The 24001-nt window shown below is 40.1% G+C and overlaps 1 protein-coding gene across 2 annotated transcripts in view, besides 1 other annotated feature; it reads right to left on the bottom strand.

Moving 5' to 3' along the window:
* Positions 1-24001, bottom strand: part of VPS13D (vacuolar protein sorting 13 homolog D) — a 282018-nt gene that overhangs the window by 208065 nt on the left and 49952 nt on the right. For both annotated transcript variants that reach the window (NM_015378.4, NM_018156.4), the window contains exons 21-25: positions 20247-21278; positions 15670-15760; positions 12859-12985; positions 10279-10459; positions 4599-4781 (exon numbers count right to left, since the gene is read on the bottom strand). In NM_015378.4, the coding sequence (NP_056193.2) occupies positions 4599-4781; positions 10279-10459; positions 12859-12985; positions 15670-15760; positions 20247-21278 (1614 nt within the window). The remainder of the gene's footprint in view (positions 1-4598; positions 4782-10278; positions 10460-12858; positions 12986-15669; positions 15761-20246; positions 21279-24001) is intronic.
* Positions 15837-15906: an enhancer, noted in NCBI's record as "active region_212". NCBI's record gives its function as "activates an Ori minimal core promoter by ATAC-STARR-seq in GM12878 lymphoblastoid cells {active_cell/tissue: GM12878}" and the evidence as "EXISTENCE:reporter gene assay evidence [ECO:0000049][PMID:35858748]".

The raw sequence follows: 24001 nt of genomic DNA, 5'->3' as shown, positions 1-24001 counted from the left end.
TATGATGTTTCTGCTCAAGGACATACAAATTAAGAAGGGCTAACAGAGAATAAAATGATTCAGTAATTCTATTGAAAATACTACTCTTTTCTTACACACTTAGTACCTTCATTCGGTTAACTGCTAACAGAGGAAAATCTATTTCACCAGAACAATTCAATAATTGACTTTTAAGCTTCCCAGGGCTTCTTCATGGAGGCCTCGGAGCTACATGTCTGCACAGCTCCCGTAGCATCATGGTTCCCATCTTGCCATTCTCAACCGAATCTGGGAAGAGAGGAAGGATGGCTCTCCCTCTAGGGCTGCCTTTATGTTGACTCCTCTCAGCTTTGGAAAAGAATACAAAAACACTGCTCCCTTTCACAGTTCTCTCAAGTAGTAATTACAAGTAAAAGAAACTAGTTCTTGCTTTCTGCAATTTTTTTATTTTTTTGCAAGGCAGATTACTAGGTAAATGTCATTATTTAAGTATTTCAACATTAAAACCTTTCCCTCTCACTTAGTTTATTTAAACTCTGTAAAGTGTTTGTTGCCCTTTCATTTGATTCATCTCTACATCCTCTCTGTAGTTGGTTTAAATAAATCAGTGGCTTGAGAAGATTAACCCAAAGCTTTTCAAAGATTTTGACTTAGAAATTGTGGTTTAAGCATAAGCTATGGTTGAGAAAAGTGAAATAAAAGCATATGCAAAAAAACTCAATCTTGTACTCATTAAGACATGGATTTATGTAAAACAATTCCAAACACACAGGAGTCCTGGAACTCAAGGGCAAATAACCCGTCTCCAAGCTTTGATTTCAGGATTATTTCCTGTTCTTTAACCACTGGAATGCATATTAGACAAACCTCACACATGCAAATGTATTCAAAGGCAAATGCAAATACAAAATGATGGCTGGTGAAGAAGGTAATTATTCATTTCATATAGACTGTAATCAATTATATTTAACTGTATGCATGGGGAGGTGAACTTCACAGATGTGTTTATCTGCTTACAAATACTTGAACAAGCAACACACTCCAAACAGCCCTTATGGAATTCTACAGAACAATCACTGGTACCCAGTAAGATAGTTTTTCTAAGATTTAAGGATATAAAATAAGATCACCAAGAACGTACTAGTGAAGGCTAAAAAAAAAAAAAAAAAAAGGAATTCTTTTCAATGGGCCTTAAGAACAACATCTTTACATAGTATGAAAGTAATTCAAACACTTAAAAAAAAAAGTTAATAAGCAGGCTTTCTCAAGTAATGAGATATTTTAAAGGGTTGGTTTTAATTTTCTTTTTAAAGCATGTGAATGTGGATTGACTGCTGAATCCCATAAGGTTTTTCAGAATAGTCAGGTTGCAAAAAAAGCACATTATACCTTGAAGAAAAAGCGCTCCTTGTATGCACTGCCACTTAAAATCAAATCCTCAAAAACAAATACAGGGAAATTTTTTTCATTAAAACACTACAAACTCTGTGCTATTATTTGACTTAAAAAATAGGAACCCTTTTGCAAAAATGTCTTCAGTATCTTGGCAATTCTTCTGCCGAGGCTAACTTCAGGGCCTGCTGGTAAACCCATACATAGATATATCTGATAAGGAAACTCTGGCCAGTACCTTTTTAGGAAGGATAGAGAAACAAAAATGGTCCTGGTGAACTTGGTCACACAATCTGGCTAGAACTGATTTCCTCCTAAAAATTTTAGTATGGCCTCAAAGTAAAGATTTACCACAAATAAATACAGTTGTGCACCGCATAATGCCATTTCAGTCAACCACAGACCACATATACTATGATGCTCCCGTAAGATTATAATGCAGCATTTTTATTGTATCTTTTCTATATTTAGATATGTTCAGATACACAAATACTTAACCATGGTGTTACAACTGCCTACAGTATTCAACACAGTACTGTGCTGTACAGGCTTGTATTCTAGGAGCAACAGGCTATAGCACAGAGCCTAGGTGTGCAGTAAGCTAAGCCATTTCGGTTTTGTAAGGACACTCTATGATGATCACAGAGCAAGGAAATCACCTAAGGATGCATCATTCTTCCAAGTATCTCCCTGTAGCTAAGGGACCATAACTGTATTTGGTCTTAGTCCCTGACACAAGAGTTTCCAAGACCCTTGGAATCTCCAGAGTGATAAAATGTCCTTGTGTATGTTAACGAGATAACTGGTGGCTAAAAACCCTTAAATAGCTTTAGAACGGGGGTTGCTGGAAGTACAGGCAACCGTGTGATTAGAGGGTTGGAACTTTCAGTTTCAGTGCCCAGGCCTCCAGGGAGAGCAGCGGGGCTAGAGATTGAGTCTAATCACAAATGGCCAATGATTTAATTAATTATGCCCATGTAATGGGGACTCCATTAAAAGCCTAAACAATGGGGTCCAGAGAGATATCAGGTTGGTGAATACATCCGCAGTCCAGGAGATGGAGCACCCCAATTCCATGGCACAAAAGCTTCTGTGTTCGGGACGCTGCGGGGTCTCGCCCTATGCACCTCTTCATCTGGCTGTATCCTTTATTACAGCCTTTATGCTCAACCAGTAAATGTGCTCCCCTGAGTTCTATGAGCCACTATAGCAAATTACTGAACCTCAGGAGGCATTGTGGGAACCCCAAGCTTATAGCTAGTCTGTCAGACATACAGGAGACCTGTACTTGTGACTGGTGTCTGAGTGGGGAGCAGTCTTTAGGGACCTGTGGGGTCTTAAGCTAACTCCAAGTGGTTAATGTCATAATTAAATTATAGACAAGTTGGTATCTGCACAGTCGGAAAATGGTTAGTATGGGGGAAAACCCAACACATCTGGTGTCAGAAGCATTGGGAGCTGTTTCCTTTTATATGTAAAGAGCACAGCACTGGCTGATGTATAATAAGCATTCAGCAAATGGCAGCTATGTATTGCTATTTTCGGCAGTTTTTAAATCTTACAATCAAATCTTACATACATCTCAAAGGCCATCTCTCTCCCTACGTTATTAGCTATTATACTAAAAATAGGCATAAGTAGCTGGGAATTTCAGTAAGTGCTTTTCTGACACACTAAAACGAGTTTGCAAGGAATAAGCAAATAGACTGAAGAGCTGCTGTGGAAACCAGCAAGGAATGATGAAAACACACACCAAGAATGACAAGGCCTCATTTCTGGTTCCAGAAATGTCACTCAGTCTCCTCAAATGCAAAAATGGATGAAGGGGGACTAATCGGACCATCTAAAAGGTCCTCTCAGCTTTAAGGGTCTGTGAATTACTAGGTGTTTCCATTTTTACTGTTTATTCTCAAAGAATCCTAGTTTCCCCAATGTAAAACACAAATAACAACAGTCCTCATCCTAATTACCTCCAAACACTGTTATGAGAAATGGATAAGTCACAGCCATAAAAAAGAATGAAATCATGTCCTTTGCAGCAACATGGATGGAGCTGGAAGCCATAATCCTAAGCGAATTAATGCAGGAACAGAAAAGCAAATGTGGCCGGGCATGGTGGCTCATGCCTGTAATCTCAGCACTTTGGGAGGCCAAGGCGGGTGGATAACCTGAGGTCAGGAGTTCAAGACCAACCTGGCCAACATGGTGAAACCTCGTCTCTACTAAAAACATAAAAACTCGCTGGGTGTGGTGGTTGGTACCTGTAATCTCAGCTAATCGGGAGGCTGAGGCGGGAGAATTGCTTAAACCCAGGAGACGGAGGTCACAGTGAGCCAACACAGTGCCACTGCACTCCAGCCTTGGCAACAGAGTGAGACTCTGTTTCAAAAAAAAAAAAAAAAAAGCAAAGCAAATGCCACACATTCTCATTTGTAAGTGGGAGCTAAACATTGAGTATCCATGGATGGTCATAAATATGAGAACAACAGATACCCTCCTAAGGTTCTATAATTTGCTAAGAGAGCTCACAAAACTCAGGGAAACACGTTTACTTGTTTAACATCAACTACTAGAGCGGAGTCGGGGGGTTGGGGGGAATGGGTCGGAAAACTACCTATTGGGTACTATGCTATCTGGGTGCAATATACCCATCTAAGAAACCTGCACATGTACCCCCTGTATCTAAAACAAAAGTTGAAAAAAAAAAAAAGGTGCCACAGTAATTTAAAACTGTAAAGCAATATACTGTACAGATGTTATTATTAAGACATTTTTAAATGGCTTCAAGTAAACCACGGGCCAATCACGTCCTCTGAAAAAAGCCACAGAGTCTAAAACGTTTATATTATAGAAGGAATGCTTTTATATAAAGAAAGCATTATAAAAAGATGGAAGGTTGATTCCATTGGTTTGTTTGCTAAAACAAGTTACTACCTACATTTACTAAGAGTTATAATTTACACTACCTCAATTCATAAGGTTAATTGAAATATCAATAAAATGTCAAAAAAAATTCTACTACCTACATTTACTAAGAGTTATAATTTACACTACCTCAATTCATAAGGTTAACTGAAATATCAATAAAATGCCAAAAAAAATTCTTCAAGCCACATACCCTACAAAAGTAATAGCAATTATGGATCATCTTACAGCAGCATACAAATTTTTCAATTAGTGATCAAATACTAGCTGAACGGAAAAGGAAATGGATACTGATTGCTCACCTTATCTTGTAGGGAAAAGGTGCCAGGAAAACCAGCAAACAGAAACTTATTTTTGACTTTCAACTTCCCCAAATTTGCTACAATCAGATTATTTGATCTGGAACTTTCTGGGATCAAGAGAACGGGAGCACCAGCCTCAATATCCAGGAGAACCCGTGAACAGCGCTGGGCTTGATCTCTCACCTGAAAGAGGAAGGAAAACTGACTCAGAGGATAATTAATTCCCTAATTTTACCACCAAATAACCTCAGGTTCCCAAAAGTTTCGTGAGTTTATAAAACAATTAAAATCATACAGAGCATATTCTATGACCACCATGGAGTTAAACTGGAAGTCAGTAACAAGAAGATAATGGAAAATCCCCAAATATTTGGAAAGTAAACTACACACTTCTAAATAACCCCTAGGTCAGAAGAAATCACAAGGGAAACAGAAAAATATTTTCACTAAAATGATAAGGAAGACATAATACATTAAAATTTGTGGGATACACTTAAAACTATGCTTAGAGAGAAATTTACACCACGACTTTAGAAAGCAATAAAGACTTAAAAATCAGTAATTGAAAGCTTCCACCTTAAGAAGCTGGAAAAAGAAAAGTAAATTAAATCTGAAGTAGAAGGAAGAAAATAAAAAGCATAAGTCAATGATATAGGAAACCGACAATCAGAGAAAAATCAATTAAACATTTATAGAATATGACTGCACCCAAAAACCACAGAACATACTTTTTTTTTTTTTTTGAGACAGAGTCTTGCTGTGTTGCCCAGGCTGGAGTACAGTGGCACAATTTCAGCTCACTACAAACTCCACCTCCTGGCCTCAAGTGAGATTCTCATGCCTCAGCCTCCCGAGTAGCTGGGATTACGGGCACGTGCCACAACGCCCAGCTATTTTTTGTATTTTTAGGAGAGATGGGGTTTCACCATGTTGGCCAGACTGGTCTCAAACTCCCGGCCTCATGTGATCCACCCGTCTTGGCCTCCCAAAGTGCTGGGATTACAGGTGTGAGCGTGCCCAGCCCAGAACATATCCTCTTTATAAGAACAGGTGGTCTATTGGCTGAGAGTATGCCTCGGCCATAATACAGGCCTGAATAAGTTGGTTATTTTAAAAGATAAAACTAATAAACCCCTGGCCACTTAGTAGCTTGGTTATCTTGGTTAAGTCGTTAAAGTCTCTGTGCCTCCGTTTCCTTATCTATAAAATGGGAATAATAATAAGCCATAAGCCCTACCTCAAAGAGGTATAGGGATTAAATGAGACAATACACCCAGAAACTGAGGTGAAAATGTAACAGCTATTATTATTACCACATCAACACCATATCTTTTCAGTCTTTTTTTCCTGTACACACAGCTATGTATTTATATATATACAGGCATCCTGACTAGCACTTACATCTTGAACATGCGTTCAGTTATATGTTAATGGAAAAAACACTGAATCATGAGCCAGACAACCAGGGCTAAGAGTTAACAATGTTTCCTCACTTATAAAATGAAAGTAACACATCTGCCGACCACCGCCTCATTAGGTATTATCATAACTAATTATCTTTTTTTCCTTGATTATATCCTCCCACTGAAATATAAACTCCATGAAGGCAATGACCTTGTCTTTCTTGTTTTCCACTCTGTTCCTAGCACCTGGCAAGCTGCATGACACACTCATTCCTAAATTACTGAAGAAATGAACAAACAGGGTTGTTATAAGGATCAAATGAGATAATGTGTAGGAAAGCACTTTGAAAACTCCAAAGCATCATTAATATAAATAATTATTGCCAAAAGTACAGGCTACTTAATTCTGCTATCTCCGTATTCCTACTATAACTGAGTCAAGGGAAGAATAGTAAGAAAAATAACTCCCTGATGGTCACATAGCTAATGGAAGCAAAACCCACTCAAGATATTTGTCCCAAGATTTCTAACGCACAGCATTACTTTACTATACCAGTTGCTAGGTGAATGAAGAAGTGTAACAAATATAAGAGGTTACATGTAAAGTGGAAGGCATAGAAAAACTGCATCATACTTCTGGGGTAAAATATATGGGAAATAATTTATATTTGGCCAAACACATCTGGTATAACTGATACTCTTAAAATTTCAAACATTAAGAATACAAAGAAATTCAAAGTTCCACTGAATCATTATTTACAGACCTCAGAAAATGTAGGAATAAAAACCCAGCTACATGTCAAAAACACGTGTCACCAATACAAGGTGAAAGAAATTTAAATTTCAAACAAAATAGCCTCTTAATCTTATCGACAAATAAAAGTAGATCTTAGCTCTATATAAACCTAATTCAAACAGCTAGAATTAAAGATTCTTGAGAAGATCAGCTTCTCTTCAAAGCCTACATATTGAACAATGTTCAAAATAGAAAGACATTCCTTTAACCTCCTACTTGTCTTATATAATTTGATAAAGCAAAACTTGAGACTTATTGTTCAACTCTGCTTAACCCAGGAAGTTAAACCCAATTACTCAGTAATATACAAGTATCTCGTTTCCTAACCCAAATGATTCACCACCATAAGACTTACCACTGTTTCAACCACACATGTAAAAATAACTGTTTTAAATGCACACAACAATTCTAACAGAAAACATTTAGCAGAGTCATACTGAAAGTCACAAAAATGTTCATAACTTTGATAAAACAGTACCATTTGTAGGAATCAATACTGTAAACATAATTCAAAAAGTGAAAAAAAAACTTCACTTCTGTAAAGATATTCATGGAAGCATTAGTCATAAGAATGAAAAGCTGAAAGCAATTTAAATGTTAAAAATAGGAAAATGGTTAAACTAATAGATTATATAGTTGCTACATAGGATATCTATGAAAAATGCAAAGCAAGATGGAAAAAGATTCTAAAAAAGGCTAGGAAAAATAGCTGGATTCTAAAAGTGCATGTATAAAATTACAGTGTTTTACATACTTGATACACTGTATGCTATTTCTCAATCTAAATTATTTTATAAAAGCATATGCAGACCATAAATGTAATATCATTTTATATCAAATAAAAAGTCTGACAATAAGAGTGTTGGCAAAGATATGAATTAAAAGAAATTATTATACACTGCTGATGGGAGACTATCATTGAGACAGCTGTTTTGGAAAACGATCTGGCTTTATCTAGTGAAGAGAAATGTGCGCACACCCTATGGCTCAGTAATTCCACTGCCAGGTATCTCAGAGATCAGAGAAAGTCTCAAGTATGTGCATCAGGACTCACAGTACATAAGAGCTAAACACTGTAAACAGCCCAAGTGTTCCAAAGGAAAATGGATAAATCATTTATACACAGAATGAAATGCAATGGTAAAAATAAATGCTATCGTATGTAACAATATGAATGAATCTTATCAACACACTAAATGGGGGGAAAAGCAAGTCAAGGAACATTAAATACGGTTTAATACCATTTTTATAAAGATCACAAGCAAAGCAAAAGATACCGTTTAGAAATTTTTTCTTTTTAATTTTAAAGGATCTTATAGACCCAAAAATCACCAGAGTGGTTCCACGAGGAGTTGACAGGGGAACGGAATAGGGAAGGAACACAGCATATGCAGGCAGCTGTCTTCCTGATGCTTTAATTTTTAGTTAGAGGTGGGTTCACAGATGTTCATCTTATTATGATACTCTGTGACATATATACATGCTACAGATAATCTTTTATAGGTGTAAAACGCTAAATTTTTTTTGAGTTGTTAAAGAAAGAAAAAAAGGTTATATATTCCATGAGCAAATTCAGAGAAAAATGTATAGAAAACAACAGAAACAAATTAAAACATGCTATAGTGCAGAGATACTAGTATGATTCTTTTTTCCAGATTTTCTATCATTTGATTATGCTACTTGTATATTTTTTAAAAATACATTCTCTGGAAGATACACAGGAAACCGACAGCACTCGTTGCTTCCAGAGAGAGAAACTAGACAGTTGGAGAAAAATAATTGAGGAGACTTTTCTCCAAATGCCCTTTTTCACTTTGCTACTGTACCAAATCAATATCTACCAAGTCAAACATTTTTTATTTAAATTAAAATGTAATTTTTAAAAATGCTGCCACTATAAAGTATCTATTTATTAAATTATAATCTTTTACCTAATAAAGTTTTGTTTTTTTTTTTTTTTTTTGAGTCATGGTGGCTCTGTCACCAAGGCTGAAGTGCAGGTGGCATGATCTCAGCTCACTGCAACCTCCACCTCCTGGGCTCAAGCCATCCTCCCACCTCAGCCTCCCAAGTACCTGGGACTACAGACACATGCCTCACCACACCCGGCTAATTTCTGTATTTCTTGTAGAGACAGAATTCCACCATGTTGCCCAGGCTGGTCACGAATTCCTGAGCTCAAGTGATTTGCCCGCCTCGCCCCCCAAAGTGCTGGGATTACAGGTGTGAGCCACCACGCCTGGCCATAAAGTTTTTTTAAAAAAGGAAAAATAACACGTTGTTACAAAAGTACATTGTTATTTTCTATGGTTCCCAAACTGCACTGAGACACCACAGGGTGGCAAAGGCTTGCAGCTGTCAGGACTTTTTTTTTTGAGACGGAGTCTCGCTCTGTCGCCAGACTGGAGTGCAGTGGCGCCACCTCGGCTCACTCCAACCTCCGCCTCCCAGGTTCAAGCGATTCTCCTGCCTTAGCCTCCCGAATAGCTGGGACTACAGGCACGTGCCACCATGCCCAGCTAATTTTTGTATTTTAGTAAAGACGGGGTTTCGTCATGTTGGCCAGGATGGTCTCGATCTCTGGACCTCGTGATCTGCCCGCCTCGGCCTCCCAAAGTGCTAGGATTTACAGGCGTGAGCCACCACACCCGGCTGCCAGGACATTTTAAATTTTTGAAGGAAAAACAACATCTGCCAGACACTGCACTAACTAGTAGCTTGTGGTAGTTGGCATTCAATAATAGATCATTCTATACTCCTTTCAGTAAGGTATTATCTTTGCGAAGCTGGGTCTTCAGCGGTTGCTGTGAGAAAAAGCAAGTACCATAAGAAGATAAATGTGGACAGGAAGTGAGGGTTGTAATGTCCAACCTGATTCCAAGTTTGAGAAGTTATGCAATACCTAACAGGCACATACCTCCTACCAGTCATTGTGGTTACTTAAGAATTAAATAAAATATTATTCTTTCCATTTATGTGTTATTATTTTTTCAAACACCTACTAAGTTGTTAGGACATATGTACTTGTTGTTTAGACTGACTTACTTTGTAAACGGAAATACCATTAGGTGTTTCCTTTGGCCTAGGATGTGCCATGAATAAACTACCAGGACCCCACGGGGGCCACGAACTCAGTTTAGAACTTCTGATCTACTGCATTTAGAAAAAACCTACCACTTTCCAAGAGAAACATCCCCACTGAAGTCCTAAAAGGGACCAGAAGTCTTAAGTGTTCTTTGTAAACCTCCCTTATCTTTTTTTACAGAAAGTGAAAGCTAAAGTTTGAAGGTAATTTAAGTGAGATACAATAAATAAGGAACAAAGCTCTTCAATTACACAAAGATGTCTGTAGCTAATCTACACGGAGAACATATTAGCAAGGATAACTTACCTTTACTCTTCCAGATTCATCTCTAGAGGCCTAAAAGTTCTACTGATCAGTCAAACTGGAAAAGCAGCTTGGAGGGCCCAGGCTACCTACCGTCTGCCCCTCAATAGCAGCTCGCTGGCGCCCTAAGACATCCTGCAGCTGAGTGAAATGCTGAATGAAGGCCACCACCTCTGCCTGGAAACGCTGAGTATGCACATACTGCACAGAGGCCATCCGGAGGCTCACGCGAATGTCGTGTTCTCTCCGGAGCAGAGGGTCAGGCCGTCCGTATCTAAAAATTAGGATAAAAGTGTGACTCAGATAACAGCAAGACACAAGTTAGTATTTCAAGAAAACTCAGGTTGGTTTAGGGGCTTCCCTAAAACCAGCTTTAATTATTAAATGGAAATCCAAAATTAGGCTTTACAAAGCAAACTCTAATAATTACTCCTTTTGTAAGCTTCTGTGATGGGATAAAGGTGTGATAGCCAGGAGTATAAACAGGTGGACAGCTCTAGCACTGAGGTCACTCAGAGGCCACCTGAGGCTCTGACCTTTCTCCCTGCCCTGAAAGGTAAGTATTCCTGCTCACCATGTTCCTGGCAAAGATTGTGAGGATGTGTGAAAAACAATAAAAATAAGTCCATGAATTAATGGGTAAAGAAAATTAGGCATCAGAATCAATGTTTCTAGGAAAAACTGTCTTCTAGAGGCAGAAAGACATCTTTTTACTTAGTCAAATGTAAGTCAAAGAGTTCTGGAATCTATAGTCGAAGATAAATTAGAAGACTTCTACAAATTGTTCTGAGTTTAATGGAGCATGGTGCCATAAAAATATTATTAAATAGGACACAGTCAACCAACATTGCTGAGTACTTATTTTGGGCTAGGCGGGAAATTGAGAATTTTACATTAATTATCGGACTTCATGACACCAAGGTATAGAACACAAACAAATCCATTCTCAGCAGGGTACCATATAACCCCCTAAAAATGAAAAAGCCCTCAGATATCTTCTTGAAACAGTTTTTCTCAACCTTGGTTGAACATCAGCATTTTAAAAAAAACACACACACTGGCCAGGCACGGTGGCTCACGCCTGTAATCCCAACACTTTGGGAGGCCGAGGCCGGTAGACTGCCTGAGTTCAGGAGTTTGAGACCAGCCTGGGCAACATGGTGAAACCCTATCTCCCAAAAATACAAAAAATTAGCCGGGTGTGATGGTGCATGCCTGTGGTCCCAGCTACACAGAAGGCTGAGGTGGAAGAATTGCTTGAGCCTGGGAGGTAGAGGTTGCAATGAGCTGAGATCACACTACTGCACTCCAGTCTGGGTGACAGAGCGAGACCTCGTCTCAAAAAAAAAAAAAAAAAAAAAAGAGACTGAGCATGGCCCTAGACCAATTAAATCAGAATATGTAGAGGCAGACCTGGACATCTATATTTTCTAATACCTCTTAGATTAAAAAAAAGAAAAAAAAAAGGGTTGAAAACCACCATTTTATACTCCCTATTTTCTGAGAAAAGCTTTTTTTTTTTTTTTTTTTTTTTTGAGATGGAGTTTCGCTCTTGTCACCCAGGCTGGAGTGGTGCAGTGGCACAATCCCGGCTCACTGCAACCTCCGTCCCCCAGGTTCAAGCTATTCTCCTGCCTCAGCCTCCCGACTAGCTGGGATTACAGGTACCTGCCACCACACCCCGCTAATTTTTATATTTTTGGTAGAGATGGGGTTTCATCATGTTGGCCAGGCTGGTCTCAAACTCCTGACCTCAGGTGATCTGCCTCCCTCAGCCTCCCAGAGTGCTGGGATTACAGGCGTGAGCCACCACGCCCAGCCCTGAGAAAATAATTCTTTAATAACCAGCCATGCCTGAAGATCCCTTTCTAAAATCTAACATAGAAACAATTCAATATAGATCATGTTTATAAACAAAAATGCATAATGAACTCATAACCTCAACAACCTTCTGAGGCTGAAATCATTCCAGAACTTTTAGAGCTACATGGAAGCTCAGAAATGTTCTAATGATTCAGTCCCCTTAATATATAGAAAAACTGATGCACGAAGACTGCATGACTTGTCTCAGGACATACACCAAGTTCGTGGAAAACCAGCAAGAGAGCCCAGGGCTTTTAATAATCAGAAATATTCAATCATACCCTATCTGGGGTGGGTGTGCGTGTGTGTGTTGAGACAAGGCCCCCCTCCATCACCCAGGCTGGAGTGCAGTAGCACAGTCATGGCTCACTGCAGCCTCCAACTCCTGGGATTAAGGGATCCTCCCACCTCAGCCTCTCAAGTAGCTAGAACTACAGTTGCATACCACCACACACAGACGGCTTTTTTCTTCTATAGAGACAGTGTCTATGTTGCCAAGGGTGGTCTCGAACTCCTGGCTTTAAGCAATCCATCTGCCTTGGCCTCCCAAAGAGCTTAGATTACAGGCATGACCCACCGCACCTAACTCATACCCCATCTGTTTATGAAGCTTTAAGTAGCCCACTTCAACACAGATCCATTTTAATGAAATTTAAAGTCAGGAAGAACTCCTCATAACCATAACTTCTCAATTTCACCTCTAAGAAGGTAAAAATTTTTAAAAGTTTTCTTTATTGTCTAGCCAACAAGAATCTGAAACAGCAAGTATTATGATAAAATATCAAGTCAGAAAAAGATTGACATTTTTACTTAAAAGTCTGGAAGATGAGTGCTTCTTCACCACTGGTAGTGAACCGTTCTCTGTAGAACTCTCCATGGCATGTGAGGTCACTTAGAGACAGACTCCCAATGCTGCCCTGTAAGGCCAGGTCTCCCTCTAGGGATGATAAAGTTAGAACACATTACTATGTATCCTTTTTTGTCACACAACTTAAATATGTCTGGAACAAAAGCTGGTATACACATGCCTCAGACTTTTCACTTTGTAATCAAACCTCAAAAGCAAATTTTCATATTCCAATATACCCCAAAAAATATTTTATGCAATATTTAAAACAAAGTCTCAATGCAAAAAAGGAAAAAAAAAGTCTCAATGCAGAAGTCCAAAGGGGACTGAAATAATACAGCAACATTACATTTTTTTTTTTTTTTTAGACAGAGTCTAGCTCTGTCGCCCAGGCTGGAGTACAGTGGCGCGATCTGGGGTCACTGCAAGTTCTGCCTCCCGGGTTCACGCCATTCTCCTGCCTCAGCCCCGCCGAGTAGCTGGGACTACAGGTGCCCACCACCATGCCTGACTAATTTTCTGTATTTTTAGTAGAGACGGGGTTTCACCGTGTTAGCCAGGATGGTCTCGATCTCCTGACCTCATGATCCGCCCGCCTTGGCCTCCCAAAATGCTAGGATTACAGGTGTGAGCCACCGCGCCCGGCAACATTACATATTTAAAGGATAAAACCTTTATAAATACAGACAGAAACTTGATGCTTTCTGAGATGAGACCACTAACTAGAAATAAACATCATTAGGTCTATTAATTATACTCTGGATAAAAGAATAAAGGAGGACGTGTCAGAAACATGTTAGGTATTCAAGCAACATTAAGCATGTTTTAGTATGATTTAATGAAAGACCAAAATTAATGAGGTAGATAGGCACTGGAGACACAGATTTGAAACTACTCTGATATATGAGTGAAGTTTCTGGAAGGTGGAAAGAAGAAAGAAGACGTGACTGAAACATGTACGACTAGAATGTGAATCTATAATGAGTCATTATTAACACTGTATGGATACTAAAAAGGAATATTCTGAACCGTTGCCTCTGTAAAACAAAATTTATTATCATAATTATCGTGATAAAACAATTACTAAGGTATATTTGGCATGCTAGTTCAGCTCCCAATGAATTGAAAACACAATTTTTTTTTTTATTTTTTGAGACAGGGTCTCACTCTGTCGCCCAGGCTACAGTGCAGTGGCACAATCATGGCTCACTGCAGCCTTGACCTTCCAGGCTCAAGCAATCCAACCACCTCAGCCTCCTGAGTCGCTGGGACTACAGGCACTGGCCATCACAACTGGTTAATTTTTACTATTTTTGTAGAGATGAGGTCTCACTATGTTGCCCAGGCTTGTCTCAAACTCCTGACCTCAGCCTCCCAAAGTGCTAGGATTACAGGCGTGAGCCACCGTGCCCAGCCACATACTTATTTTAGATACCTAATGTCTTCTAACAAAAATAACCAAGCTTTTACCAATCTTAAAGGCCATTAACAGGAATACGCTGTAAGAAGGAAAAAAAAAAAAAAGCCAATCTCCTCTAAGAAGCTTTTCTAAAATAATTGCACAAGGCATGAAACCTCAGCCTCAGTTCATTCCTTCCCCAAAAGACATTCTTGTTTTTACTACAGCATCAACATGAGCTTTGTAATCTTTGATAATTAGGAAAGGAAAAATGTTTTACTTCACATTTCATAAATCTCTACTAAAGGCTGGGTACGGTGGCTCACGCCTGTAATCCCAGCACTTTGGGAGGCCAAAGTGGATGGATGGTTTGAGTCCAGGAGTTTGAAACCAGTCTGGCCAACATGGCGAAACCCTGTCTCTATAGTTTAAAAAAATAAGTTAAAATATTATTTTTTTAAAATCCTACTATTTAGAACCTGATGTAGTTGATCACTTGTATTCAACTAAGAATTTTAACTTACAAAGTCCCATTAGAGAGAATGCTGGCCAGGTGCTGTGGCTCACACCTGTAATCCCAGCACTTTGGGAGGCAGAGGCAGGAGGATGACTTGAGGTCAGGAGTTCGAGAATAGCCTGGCCAACACAGTGAAACACTGTCTCTACCAAAAATACAAAAATTAGTTGGGCATGGTGGCATGCACCTGTAATTCCAGCTATCTGGAAGGCTGAGGCAAAAGAATCGCTTGAATCCAGGAGGCAGAGGCTGCAGTGAGCCAAGACTGCACCACTGCACTCTAGCCTGGGCAACCAAGCGAGATCCTGTCTCAAAAACACAGAATAAAGAATGCCAGCTTTGCTACAATGTCCTCCTGCATAACACCATGGCCTCTACTGGTAGCTCCCCCAATTTATGACTCTAGATGCAGTCATATCCTCTGGTTTCCCAGAGACAGCCCTGTTGTATGCCCGTTTTCTAGGGGTAATTATATTAATGATGTCCCCTTTAACTCTCAAAAATATCCCAATTTGAACCAAAAAAAAGTTATATGGGCACCCTAGATAGAGTCTGTTGAAAACACAGATAGACACCAGGGCTCCATCTCAACTTAATCAGATTCTTGGGAAGGAGATGAGAGACAGGAGGAGGGAAGAGGCTGTGCCAACACCTGCACTTTTAACAAGCTATCCAGATGATTCTGATCCATAAGCCAGCATTTGGGAACCACCACCATGAATCCTGGCCAGACTAATAACCACAATCAAGCCACTGCCACACCTTACTCAGCACGTGAGGACAATCAATTTGTGATCACAATGTTCAAATGCTGACCAGATTTTGCAAGTTTGCTTCCCTCCACCCCCCACCACTTACCAATCATTTCCAGGTGTGCTACTAATTTGGACACATTTGCTTTGGCAAGCTCACTGGTGGTCTTATTCAGCACTAGAGAAAGTGAATGAACCTAGGAACAGACAAGATAAAGCAAGGCCAATATTACTGGGGAGAAAAGGTATCTTTCAGGAAAACGGCAGAGCAATCAAGGAAAATGCAAAAAGGCTTGGGAAACTTGAAGGTAATGCTTTTAACAATGCCAATTTCACTTCAGCTTTCTTAAGCCAGAGAAACCACGACCTGAGGACAGGGCGGAGACTGGACAGTCTAAATTTCAGTTTCTGTGGTGCCTTCTCTATGCTTGCCTTGTCTATTTTCTGTTCATGAGATGCTTTACATTATAAAAATAATTTTTCTCATTTTGGCATTCATCATTAATATTATACAATTCTATAGTAACTCAAACAGATCCATTAAATCTCATTTTGATAAATTTTTCAAAACAAAATGATAAATATGATTTAGAATCCCATTTACTGCCTCTGAACAAATATTTAATAGAAGCCCACCATTAACCAACTGAGACTTCACCTAAAAGCCATAATCAAAGATTTTCTTTCCTAGGGACAACTACAAATAGAAGAAAAAATCCCCTGTCTTGGAAGTAGCATTCTTTGTAACAAATAAATTTCATAATGCAATATTGTAATTGTAACTATTAAAAAGATCTTATATGTCTAGGATTTGTTGAGTCAGTTCCCAACAACCTTTTTTGCTTTGAGTAACATCACAGGGGACAAAACACTGATGGAAGAGAAGGAAGGAGTGAGGAAAAGACTGAGAGCAGATTTAATCTTCAATTCACACCCTCCACTCCTTAACAGCAAGGACCATGCCTTCACCCCTTTGTCTTCAGTGCCTGCCACAAAGTAGGTACTCAAGAAATGTCTGGTGCATGAATAATCAGGAGGATAAAAAGATGGGAAAAGAAAAAAGGAATGTAATAGAAGGAAAGGAAGAAAAAAAATCATTTACAGAAGAAGACAGAGAAAAAGCAATGGGTTACTATAGCTGGAGCAATGACTTTGTGGGGGGAACTCCAGTTCCCTTGCAGTATGATTTCTGACACTGACCCAGGCACAGAAGGAATCTCAAGGCGAGATCATCATGGGGAAATTAAAAACCTCTAGTCAGCTGGATGCAGTGGCTCACACCTGTAATCCCAGCACTTTGGGAGGCAGAGGCAGGATGATCACTTGAGGTCAGGAGTTCAAGACCAGCCTGGCCAACATGATGAAACCCCGTCTCTACTAAAAACAGAAAAACTAGCTGGGCATGGTGGCAGGTGTCTGTAATTCCAGCTATTTGGAAGGCAGAAGCACAAGAATGGCTTGAACCCAGGAGGTAGAGGTTGCAGTGGGCCAAGATCGCACCACTGCACTACAGCCTGGGTGATAGGGCAAGACCCTGTCTCAAAAAGATAAAATAAAAATAATGAAAACCTCTAGTCATTTAATTTTACCAAAAGAACATGTACACTGGGTCTAAAAATGCTTTGTTTGGAGGAATCCAACCACCACCACCACCACTTGAACCAGCTCTTCCCACGAATCTTAGTGTCACTAACAGATGATGATCAGACGTTGTATGCCTCCTGCCTCAATGCAACAGGAAGCACTCAGCAGCCCCTCTGGCATGTTCTTACCAAGCTGAACTGAATCTGATGGGGTCTCTAGAGCTAACATCCACTTGTTAAAATAGAGGATAAAAGAAGTCAAACAGTCAAACAAGAAAACAGACAAACCTAAAATGTGGGACACTCTACAAGGCACTAATCCAGTTTCTGTAACAAGTCAATAGGCGGTGGGGTTGGAGGGGGGCAGATACACTATAATTAAAAGAGATTTAAAAGACATGACAGCAAATGTAACATGGAACCTTACCTGGATCCTGATTCAAAAATATTCATGCATCAGGCTGGGCACAGTGGCTCATGCCTGTAATCCCAGCACTTTGGGAGGCCAAGGCAGGCCGATCACTTGAGGCCAGGAGTTTGAGACCAGCCTGGGCAACATGGTGAAACCCCATCTCAACTAAAAACACAAAGATTAGCAGGGTGTGGTGGCACACATCTGTAGTCCCAGCTACTCGAGGGACTGAGGCAGGAGAATAGCTCGAACCCAGGAGGCAGAGGCTGCAGTGAGCCAAGATCATGCCATTGCACTCCAGCCTGGGCAACAGAGCAAGACTCCTTCGAAAAGAAGGAAAGAAAGGAAAGGAAGGAAAGGGAAGGAAAGGAAAGGAAGGGAAGGGAGGGGAGGGGAGAGGAGGAGAGGAGAGGAGAGGAGAGGAGAGGAGAGGAAAGGAAAGGAAAGGAAAGGAAAGGAAAGGAAAGGAAAGGAAAGGAAAGGAAAGGAAAGGAAGAAAGAAATTCATGCATCATTTTATTTAATTCTCCTTATTTTGTAAATGAGAAAACTTTGGCTTACAAAAGCACAGTATTCTACTGAATTATAGAGACCAACAGAATAGAAAGACAAGAAGTTTCTTAAACCATTCATTCCTCTACAATCCACCAATAAAAGGGCATTTTTGAGACAATCAGAGAATCTGATTATGGACTGGTGTTAGAAAATACCAAGGAATTCTTGTTAGTTGGACGTGACAATGCATTGTGGTATGTCCATTGTTTTTTTAGAAATAAATACTGACGTATGTAGAGTGAAATGATATATCTGGAATTTGCTTTAAAATACTTCAGCAGGCAACGCGCAGTGGCTCACTCCTGTAATCCCAGCACTTTGGGAGACTGAGGCAGGCAGACCACTTGAGGTCAGGAGTTTGAGACCAGCCTGACCAACATGATTAAACTCCATCTCTACTAAAACTACAAAATTAGATGGGCATGGCGGCGCGCACCTGTAATCCCAGCTACTCAGGAGACTGAGGCAGGAGAATTGCTTGAACCCAGGAGGCAGAGGTTGCAGTGAGCCAAGATCCCGCCACTGCACTCCAGCCTGGGCGACAGAGCGAGACTCCGTCTCAAAAAAAAAAAATAAATAAATAAATAAATAAATAAATAAATACATAAAATAAAATACTTCAGCAAAGAAGAAAAGGCATAAAGTAAATGTGATGAATTATAGGACTGGGCAAATGGGGGTTCATTATACTGTTTCTCTGTGATGTATCTGAATTTTTTCACAATAAAAATGTTTGTCAAAAATTCTTATTTTAAAAAATGCATTGTTGAGGAACACTTATCCAGTCCTATTCCCTTGTAGAACCAGCCACATCAATCAAGGCAAAGCCCTCTGGGAGCACTGCATATTCAACACCAAAGAGTTCCTGACGCAGATCATCACAGACACTGCAAGAATAAAGTTCCAGGTACAGACACATGAAGCCCAAAGGAATGGCTAACGCCTCTCCAGGTTCCATCCACCTTGCTAAACCAAAAGTACCAGAGGCCTCGGAGTACTGCAAAGTCATTCATTCACCAGACACTGAACAAGAAAGGTAAGCTGGTCCTTTCCCATCTCTACCCTGAGATGTCTTCCATTTCTAGAGGAATGAGGCCTACTATCAGCAAGGGAAATAAGAAAATGGCAACAGGATAAAATGTGATTCTCCTCCCTGACTTCTCCCCAGCAGGAAGTGCAAGTCCACACATGCTAAGACATGTGGATAAAGAACATCCTTGAGGCACACAAATGTTACCAGCCACGGCCGGGGTTCCAGGGCTCTGGACGAGTGCTAGTGACAGCAGGCCTATGTGCCCTCGAATGGGCTATTCAGGTTAACTGCTTTCACATCCTACTGGTCTATCACACAGAGCAGAATAGCCTTAAACTCAAATGCTGTCTTTTTTATGGTTTTTTTCTTAATACTTACAGTATGAGTATCAAGGACAAGTTATAAGTATGGTAATCCATGTAATATAAAAATAATAATGGCTACCATTCATTAAATCCTTATTGTGTGCCACACACTGTGTGGAGGGCCTTACAACAACCCTATGATGGGGGCACCACTGAACATCCTCAGTTTACTCATGAAAACATTAAGGGCAAAAGAGGCCAAGTGGTTTGCCCCAGGTCACATAGCTATATGGGTACAGTGAAAGTACCAGGACTCAAACTCACGGAGTCCAACTTTTGAGACCATTCTTAACAGTTACGCTGTTGCCCTCAATGCAAGCAAATAATGTTCTGAGAGAATGGGGAGACAGAAACAAAAGCCACACTTTAAAGTTGCTATTACAGATTACACACTTTGCTAGGTGCCTTCCACACATCACCTCATTTAGTCATCTTAGATGATGGAAGATGAGGAAACTACGGTTCAGAGAAGCAAAGTAACTCCACTGAATTATAGAGCTCAAAGGAAAGGTAAGATTCTTAAACCACTTATTTTCCCTGCCTCCAGATGGGATTTACAGTAAAACCTTTCCCAAAATATTCATGTCTACCTTTCGTAGCAAACACCTAGAAGACTAGATAGCTCCCCTGCCAACAAGAGATATTTTCCAAAGTAAATGTAAAGTGCTTGTATTTAAATCAACAAGCCCAAATCCATTTTTAGAGCTTAAGGGAGCCAAAGGGAACTGAGGATACCTTGAGATCCAGTTTGGTGTTCACTGGATCCTGAAGTCCAGACTCCATGGAGGCATGTGGCTCCAACTTCACGTTGTGCAGAATGCCCTCAGGAGGCAGCCTCATTGCGTGGTTGTCTGCAGTGGAGCCGATTCCAAAAAAGTCTAATATCACAACCCAGGTTTGCAGTGTGATCAGCACATCCAAGCAATTAAAATCAACATCAATGCTCCGGTTAACTCGATTGTAACTGGAAGAGAATTCTGGATGTTTCTTATCTACCAAGAATATGTTGATGTGGACTAAGGAATCATCAAATTTACTCTTTCCAACAAGTATCTTGGGCTCATCCACTGTTGGAGAAGGAGGTGGGGTCAAGGGATAGTCCTTGTCTTGGACTTCCTTTTGCTTTTTCCGGGACGCAGAGGTGGGCCTTTGATACAACTGGAAGACATTAGGAGCTTCTTCCATGTGGGAAGGGAGAGACCGAGGCATATCAGGATATTCCACATTGGACACTGAGGGGCAAGACTGAGAAAGGTATTCTTTTTGTGCTAAACTAGATGGCTTAGGGGCTCCTCGAGACACCATCAGGTTCTTATATTTAGAATCTGGATTCTTCTCCAATAAGTCCTCCATCAGCAGAGAATGCAGGGCAATCTGAATAGATAAAGTCTGGGGATGGTCTTTACTGAATTCCACCTCAAAGTCCTGAAACTTTAAGCTCACAAGACCTTGGGCCCCCAAAGTCAGATCTCCACTTAGCTGAACCTGAAGCTCTGATATACAAAAGGTGGCTTGAATCTGAGTAAAGGATTTGACTTCCTTCACTGACAATGACTTCTGAGAGGTGTTAGAAAGGCTGGAGTGGCTGAACAATCCATTCTCCTTCCTTTCAACAGAAGATTCTCCACAGGTACTGAGGGGAGGCAGAGGAGAATCAGGGCAAGGGGAGGAGGTAGCACTGGCTGGATACTTATTCAGATCTTCACTGTACACGAGATTGTCCAGGGTTTGTAAAACCTGCTCATATACATGCTTTGCTAACACCACCTGTATTGAAAAGAGAAAAATTCAGTTACTCTTATTATTAAATGCACGTAGATGTAATGCCCATAAATGTCTACAGTTGCCACATGATTCCTACATGAGGCTGTAAGTTACCTGATAGCAAAGACTATCTCTTTTCATTTATTTTGTCCTTACCTCTTTATGACCCACTTCTGTTCACAAGGCCCTCCCTCAGCACCCTACACAATAATCTACATACAATAAGAGTTCAATAAGTACTGCGGATTATGCCTGAATCAACAAAGTCACTTTTTCTGACCCCACAAAAATGAATGCAGAAACTGAAGAGTGTTGACAAAAGTCTGGCGTGGATACACCACAGGATTGAGAAACAAGGTTCATGGTTCTAAAACTGGCTGATCATCACCAGTTAGAGTAACAGCCAATGTTTAGTACTGGTAGTACTTTTTAGATAAAAATGATGATGATCCATGATTAGTTATGTTTCCTTTCTCCTTTGCTTCATTTTTAATTACAATTTCTTATTAAAAATATTTTCAGCCAGGCACAGTGGCTCACGTCTGTAATCCCAGCCCTTTGAGAGGCCGAGGCAGGCAGACTGTGTGAGCCCAGGAGTTCAAGACCAGCTTGGGCTACATGGTGAAACTCTTGTCTCTACAAAAAATACAAAATTAGCAGAGTGTGGTGGCACAGGCCTGTAGTCCCAGCTACTTGGGAGGCAGAGGTGGGAGGACCGCTTGAGCCCAGGAGGTGCAGGACACAGTGAGCTGAGATCATGCCACTGCACTCCAGCCTGGGCCACAGAGTGAGACCCTGTCTCAAAAAAAAAAAAAAAATTTTCAGGCAAGTTTTTTATTTAATGAAGGGCAATTTTTAACAGAAGAATTCCAACCAATAGATACAGAAATAATGATGGAATTAGAAAAAGTGACCATTTTGTAACCCCTAATTAAATAATGTGTGCCATCGAAGTTCATTAGTGGAATAAACCATTATGTGAATGACTGACAGGGAATTTTGCAATGGAGAAATCAAGGCTCTTGCCACCTAAATACAATTATCCACTTTAACATCAATAAGAGAGAAAAAAGACCTGATTATGTGCCTCCTGATATAAAGTAATATGAAGTATACAGCACCACCTACCTGAAGTCTACCTCCCAACTCCCCTGCCAAAAAAGAAACCCGAATCCAGTCAAACCTATAGAACTAAACCTGTTCTATAGATTTTACAGGAAATATGTGGGAGAACAAATTAAGTGGCACACGAACAGCCAAATCCAGAAAGTGGGACATTCCACAGGACAACTGACTTAGTTCCACAACAAAATACGACATGGGGGGACAAAAAAGAGAGGGAAACTAGATGAACAGAGACCTACACAATGTATCACCCAAATGCAATGCTTCCAATTGTCTGTATCCTGATTCCAACAAACCCAAAACAAAGACATTTTTGAAATGATCCAAAATATTTCTGAAATCTGAAAATCGACTAGATAGTATCAAAGAATGCTCATTAATTTTGTAAGGCATGAAATACCACTGTGGTTATGTAAGAAGAAGCACCTAGTTTTTGGAAATACACTCTAAATACATAGGGGTGATAATGGCATGACATCTGGGATTTACCTTAAAATATTTCACCAAAAAAAAAAAAAATAGATAAAACAAATGTGGCAAAATCTTCATAAGTGGAATCAGAGTGATGGGCACATAAAGCTCATTAGACTATTCCACTTTTGTATAGGCTTACATTCTTTCATAATCAACTTTTTAAAAAATTAAATTATTAAATTAATTACTAATCAATTATTAAAGAATTCAAATAATTATCTTAATTATTTTTAAAGAAAGAATTATCTACAATAACGTTTTTAAGATTTTCATCAAAACAACAGTTAAGTCAATGGTAACCATAAAAATAAGTCAACATAGGCCGGGCATGGTGGCACACACCTGTAATCCCAGCACTTTCGGGGGCCAAGGCAGGAGGATCACTTGAAGCAAGGAGTTCAAGACCAGCCTGGCCAATGTGGTGAAACCCCGTCTCTACTAAAAATACAAAAATTAGCCAGTGTGGTGGCGAATGCCTGTAATCACAGCTACCCAGGAGGCTGAAGCAGCAGAACTGCTTGAATCTGGGAGGCAGAGGTTGCAATGAGCCAAGATCACACCACTGGCACTGTAGCCTGAGACTCCGTCTCAAAAAAAAAAAAAAAAAAGTAAGTCAACATAATCCAATAGAATTTACATCACATGCTAGATTTAAGGTGAAAAATTTGTCCTGGTAGCTACCACTGATGGGGCAAAAGCTTAGTCTGAGAAGGGAAAGCTTTGGAGTAGTTCTCTCAGGGGTCCCAGAGACCCCTGGGAGGAACCACAAATGTCAAAAGGCAGGCCCACTCCATCAACAGCACTCCTGGGTTACTCCAGAACAGCTGCCAGACACAGACCAACTACTGTTGTGCCAGACACAGACCACAGACCGTCCTAAGAGCCTGCCTGTCACTGCTGTTTTATAATGTACTACTCTTTGCTCTCGTCCCTGTGAAATCAGGGAAAATGACACTTTTGAAGGAAAAAAAAGAAAAGGTGTATACATACATGCATGCCCATAAAAAAAGAAATCCCTATCCTGGCCCATTTCATTTCAGAGAGGGCAGGACTAATTCTCTGTTGAAAGGATCTGTCCACAGCTCAGATGATCACAATGTTTCACTGGCTGTGTTAAGTATGTCTAA

The sequence above is a fragment of the Homo sapiens genome, chromosome 1, assembly GCF_000001405.40.
Source record: "Homo sapiens chromosome 1, GRCh38.p14 Primary Assembly".
NCBI lineage: Eukaryota > Metazoa > Chordata > Mammalia > Primates > Hominidae > Homo > Homo sapiens.
Note: the sequence above shows the minus strand (reverse complement) of the source record. Positions and strands in the feature narration are given on the sequence as shown.